Source organism: Homo sapiens, chromosome 2, assembly GCF_000001405.40.
Source record: "Homo sapiens chromosome 2, GRCh38.p14 Primary Assembly".
In the NCBI taxonomy this organism is placed as follows: domain Eukaryota; kingdom Metazoa; phylum Chordata; class Mammalia; order Primates; family Hominidae; genus Homo; species Homo sapiens.
This window is the reverse complement of record NC_000002.12, coordinates 112958276-112964385: the sequence shown is the minus strand read 5'-3', so window position 1 is coordinate 112964385 and position 6110 is coordinate 112958276. Positions and strand designations below refer to the sequence as shown.

At 45.4% G+C, this 6110-nt stretch overlaps 1 annotated feature.

The window, feature by feature from the left end:
* Positions 5282-5331: a silencer, noted in NCBI's record as "silent region_11877". NCBI's record gives its function as "represses an Ori minimal core promoter by ATAC-STARR-seq in GM12878 lymphoblastoid cells {active_cell/tissue: GM12878}" and the evidence as "EXISTENCE:reporter gene assay evidence [ECO:0000049][PMID:35858748]".

The window sequence follows — 6110 nt, the reverse complement described above, 5'->3', positions numbered from 1 at the left end:
CAATCCACCCGCCTCAGCCTCCCAAAGTAATCCCAAATCACGCTGGGATTACAGGCGTGAGCCACCGCACCTGGCTGTTTTTAAATATCTATTGATTCTGTAGTCTTGCCAGTGCCCTAATGTCAAACAGAACATTTGAATAAATGGCTCTTTTCCTAATGACACCCACCTTTTCTTCACTAAATGATTCTAATATAGGTCCAACAAGGGTTGACCCAGAGATAAATCTAAGTGAGAAAACTATGTACAGTGTGTTCAAAATCACTTCTCTGATTCAAAAACGTTGCTATTGCTAATGAAGTAAACTCCCCAACCCATTACCATAAACCCATAAACTTCAATTTAACTGACCGCTCTCCTGAAAATAGGCTTCTAGTGAACTCATCCTAATTCTTGGTCATATATAGCTAGACATGCCTGAATTTCAGGTTAGATTCCAATTAGAAGCCCCAACAATACCCACATTTTAGAATTGAACAAATAGGAGTGCAAAAAGTTTCTCACTGTCAGGCAACCTTTCTACTTTTCCTAGTCCCTGATTCCTTCCTTGACCCAGGAAATGTCCTGGGGGGGAAGATATTAAGACAGGTGGCTCATGGGGAGCCTGAGAGACAAGTTTCTAGAAGGCCATTGCATATTTAAAGAATTAGAAGGAGGAGAAAGCTGGATCAAATCTTCTAATCACACACTAAACCAGGGACTTAACCTGGCTGGCTCAGTTCACTTTGAAACCACTCAAAAGGAAAGAATTTGGGGGCAGTAAAAGTCACTGTGTAACCATTATTTTTGATGTGAAATTCACTTCAACTTAATATGTATCAGTACCTCACTTACCAGACCTGGATTAATTATATCTGTTCATTCCATCACTCATACATGTTTCCACTGGAATGATCTAATACATTGCTACTCAAAGTGTGGTCCATGTGTTACAAGTGCAGAATGTCAAGCCCCACTCCAGACCTACTGAATCAGAATCTGCATGCGTTTTTGGTAAGACCCCTAGATGATTAATACATGGAGTTTTTAGAAGCACTGCTCTAGCACCCATTTCAATCCATTAGTCGCTATGAAAGGACACTTATTCAGGTGGCCATACACACTGTGTGCAGAGGGCAAGGCTGCACACAGAGACATTTCCCTGGCAGATGAAGGCAGCCTCAGGGATGGAAGCTGAGGCTCACATTGTTCCATGTCACTACTGCTAATCTCTCTGCACTATTTCCCAAAATCCCAACCTAGGAAACAAGAATAGAAAGGCTGGAGATGAGAGACTCATTGTTTAGCTCTGATTCTGCTGCTAAATATCAATGAAGCCCTCTAGAAGTCACTTTACTTCTCTGTGCCTTTGTTTATTTACCTGTAGCTGAGGAAACCATCTCTGTAATCACTTAGAGCTCAAACTGTCAATGATTCTAAACAACAATGATGCAACTCAATGACTCCCAACTCTGAGTAATTGCCACTTTGATTTTAGTGTCCATCAACAGAGATGAAGGGTTGTGATGTAAGTAACAATCACTCCATTTTACCATTCTGTGCTGTCACTGGTCCACTATATTTAGCCCCCAGTATTATTTAAGTTTCTGCTACAATAATGCTATGTAAACAAACCCCAAACGTCAGAGACTTATACATGTTTATTTCACTTTCAGGTCTGTAGGTAGCTGCAGTTCAATTGACCTCATGTGGGCTCAGCTGCCCTTCAGCCTTTGAGTCAAGTTCATTATTCTCCATGTTTGTATTCTAGGACATGGGCTGAAGGTACAATCCAGGTTATTCTCTCTTCATGGCCAAGGGAAGGAGTTCTGAGGGAGCTGGCATAGGCTCACCATGCTTCCCAAGGCCTTAGCTTGGGACTGGCTCCCAGTTACTTCTGCCCACATTCCCTTGGCAAAAAAGTCACATGACTAAGCCCAAAGTCAAAAGGACAGGGAACTACAGCCCATCAGTGGGGAAGAGAAGCCATAGCAAGAACGGGAGAGAAGGAATCCTCATAGGCGTACACACTCACACACACACACACACAAGGCATAATCATAAAGCAAACTAAGGAGCCACCTAATATCCTTGTGGGCTTTGGTAACTTATATAGACACAAAATGGGGATATAGCTGGGAACGCTGGCTAACTCAAATGTGAGAATCAGATTATTTCTGGACATGCCTGGTCCAGCTATCTGTGGACTCACTAGAAGCCTTCCCCAGAAGGATATGAGGAGCCTTCTAAGACAGAAATCACTCTAAGTGAAGACAAAACAAGGCTTGGTGAGGTTAACCCAGTGACAGCATCTCAGTTATTAAGCAGAAGAAGGGATTTTGAGTTTACTATGCTCTCGGTGACTCGATCTCTGTGACTTGGATTTGCCTCCTGAAGCAGCTCCCATTGGCCTCCCATCTAAGCATCCCTTTCCAACTACACCGTGGCCACCATGCAAGTTGGTGCTGTGAAGACACAGGTGCCTCAGGCACCACAGCTGGCCAGCCTCTGCAAAGCAGCAGCAGCAGCAGCAGAAGCCTCAGCAAGAGCAGAGGAACAGCAGGAGTGGACTCGTTGTGAGTCCATGTCTACACTCAAAGACGGGGCACCTTACAAGGCTGAAAGGTAACCCCATCTGTAACCCATGGGCTGGTGAGACCTGACATGGAATTTATTTTAAGGTCCACTCAGAATTACTGTGGATGTAAAGCACAATGTATATCTATGTAAAGACTGATTACTATCCCAGGGGCTAGGCCCAAATGACATTTGTGGGACAATGGCAGTGACACTGACAAAGGATGGATGTAGACCACAGGTTTGGGAGCCACCTGTGAACTGTGATCAGCCAGCAGGACTCCACAGCCTGCTTCAGAGCCATTGGAAGGATATTCTGGAGGTAAAGCAACTCACTCTTACACTCAAATATTTCCTGAATGCCTCCCATGACCCAGGAGCTAGATTGGACAATGAGAACTAAGCCTTAGTAGAGCTATCCAGAGATGCTGATTTCCTTGATGCCACTGGGGAATTTGGAAATAAAAGTACCTGGAACATGCCCTTTAAGCCTCTGCCATGGATACCAAGTTTCAAAAGTAGCTGGAAGGAAAGTCAGGCAGCATCAGAATGACGCTGGGCACCCTACCCAGGAGGTGCCTTAGACAGTAGGACAGGCAATGGGAGAGCCTAGTCAACCCAGTGTGAAAACCCTTTAGGCCATGAGGGATCTGTCAGTTCAGTGAGATTGCAGACCAGAGGGTGAGCCTAGAACATTAGTAGGTAAAGCAAGGAACAGAAAGAGGTAATTGCCCAAAGATAACTTTTCTTGTTTCAACCTTTTTTGGGATTATGGTAAAACCTGAGAGGGTGGAATCAAGATTTAGTCACACACTAGCTGTGAAACTTTGGAGACAGATGTCACTTAGCCCCTCTGAGGCCTTGTCTTAATTTAGATTCTAGGCATAGTCCACACAAGGACCTTGCTGCCATTTTCCATATGCTACAAGGTTGCATCTGACCCCTTGTGAGGGTCAGCTGGATCCAAGTTTGTTGGAGAACCTGATACTGGATTCAGGTTCTCAGCACAGGGTAGGGCCTGAGGCTGGTTTTTTCCCCAGCAACAGCTGCCGGTGAGGAAGTAGAACCTTCTTTCCAGTTGCCCTATGGAAGTTCTGAGTGCCTTCTGGGGAGGAGTCAGGGCCCCTGCTCACCTGACAGCTTGCTTTTCTCAGCCTTCTTTGCATCTGTGTAGATGGGAGGGAAACAGTTACAGGACTGACCAGCTACAGACAAGGCCTCCTGCCTCTGGGACTCAGTTGGGAAGAGATTGGGACAGGAAAGCCCTGGGGCCAAGTCCCCCAGGATGCTATTCTCCTCTCTAAAAACCAGCACATCTCTCCCCACAGAGCCCAGTGCTTGGTGACTGTCCCCAGATCTCAAGGATTCCAGGTCAATTTGAGAATTGCCCCACCTACTGGGAATACAGCCATTAGCATCATCCATAGTCTCTAAACAGCTGTGCTTAGAACTGTGTTCTCAAACTTCTAAGACTCCATGCCCTTTGAGAAAATAATCAACAAATACTTTTGAACACCTGCCATGTGCCAAGTACTGTTCTAGGTGCTAGAAATACACTACAAAAAGAAACGTTCCTTCCAGAGATTACATGGGTATTGATGAAGTAAACAAAAAATAGTAAAATTAGAACTATAAAGTAACTAATCTATTTTATTTGAACGTAACAAGTGCTTTGAGAAGAAAGCAGTGGAGAGGGATAAGAAGGCTAGGGGTGGGGGTGCATACCCTCAAATCTTGAAGAGGTGGTGTGGGAAGGCCTCCCTAGAAGGTGATATTTAAGCAAAGACTAAAAGGAAAAGAGGGAGAAAAATCATGTGAACAGTGAGAGAAGTGCATTTTGGGCAAAGAAAAGAGCAAATGCAAAGGCCCTGAAGCAGCAGCTCGCCTGGTGTGGACAACATGCAAAGTACCCACTGCCCACACCCTCTTCAAGGAAGAGCTCCCTGCCTAGTCACTGGAGCGGTGACTTAAACCAGGAGGGTGTCTAATTTACCTCAGATAGTCTCACAACGGCAGGTCCTACTAAAGGCAAAAAAAAAAAAAAAAAAAGAAAAAAGAAAATTCAAACTGACCTGGCGGTTTAACATTAAAATGCTTGCAGGGAGCGAATGTTCCAAGAAATAGGGTCAGCTGCCAATGGCTCACTAGCACCCAAGCACTCAGCTCACAGCCCACCTGCACGCAAGCATCTTGTCTGCAAGCATTCAGCCTAAGCAGCCCTACGTCATACGTAGCCCTTGCCTCTTTGCAGACAGCCTTCCCTCTGCTGTATTGCCCATTGCTCCCTTGCAACGTATCTCTCCTTTTCTCTAAATAAATCTGCCTTTCTAAATTCAATATTGTCTTGATTGATTCCTTTATCACCACGCGCTGGCCTCACACAGCCATTAACCACGACAAGTTGCATCCCCAGAGATATTTAACCCGAGGAAAAATCGGCCACAAGGTAGCGCCACATTACAGAGAGGGAACAGATGGATTTATCTTGCACGTGGTCCCCAGAATTGCTCAGAGGCTAGCTGCAGATGCTCACCAGGTCATTTTATTAGCCTTCTAATAACACAGTTCTACATTTTATACTAACGAAGTTTGGGGCCCAATTTATTGCCTAATTTGGGATTTTAAATGTTAAACCACTGAGACTAGAAAAGATCCCTAAGGAGGCAGATATTGCTAAAGGAAAGAGAAGGGCCTTCAGCACATGCTAATATTTGAGCAGGGTTTCTTGATCTTGGCACCATGGATATTTTGAGCTGAATAATTCTGTGTTATGGGGACTGTCCTGGGCATTAACAGCATCTCTAGCCTCTCCCCACTAGATGGCAGTAGCAACACCCTCAAACACAACCATAGACCTCTCCAGATATTGCCAAATGTCCCCTGGGGAGCAAAATCACCCCGTAGTGGAGAAGCAATCATTCAGGGGACAGAGGACGCAGCAAAATCAGAAAGGAGACCAAAGACAGCGGCTAGAGGGGAGGAAACCAGGAGAGTGCGTATAGTGGAGCCAATGGCGGAAAGGTCCCAAGGAAGAGTGACCAATTGCATCCAACAGTGAGTGCCTAAAGGTAGGATGGCTGTATATCTGCTTTCCTAAGACGGCCCCAATTTATGCCTCTTGTCCAGGTACAACCATTTCTTAGGAGTGTTGCCGTTTGGATCATTTATGTGCTCACATGACTCAAAAGTCAAATAAGAGGAGAGCAGAGACAGCAGTGGGTTTGGCCACGTGCAGGCTGGTGATGACCTCAGCAAGGGAAGTTTAGGTGCAGTGGCGGAGACTACAGCCACTTTGGTAAGTGTACTTTGGGGGCAAGTTTAAAATAGAACAGGAGAAATTACAGAAAGGGGGGTCTCTATAACACTTCCTATGGGTTTTGCTATAATTAAGGATAGAGCAACGTGAGAAAGAGATGGAGAGGGTGGTGGAGATGGGAGGAACAGCTGCATGCTTTGTGCCAGTATAACTGGTCTGCTGAAGAGGAACCATGATGTTGCCGGAGCATGAGAGGACTTGCTAGAGGCACGTCCTGAGCAGGTGAGAGGGTACGATA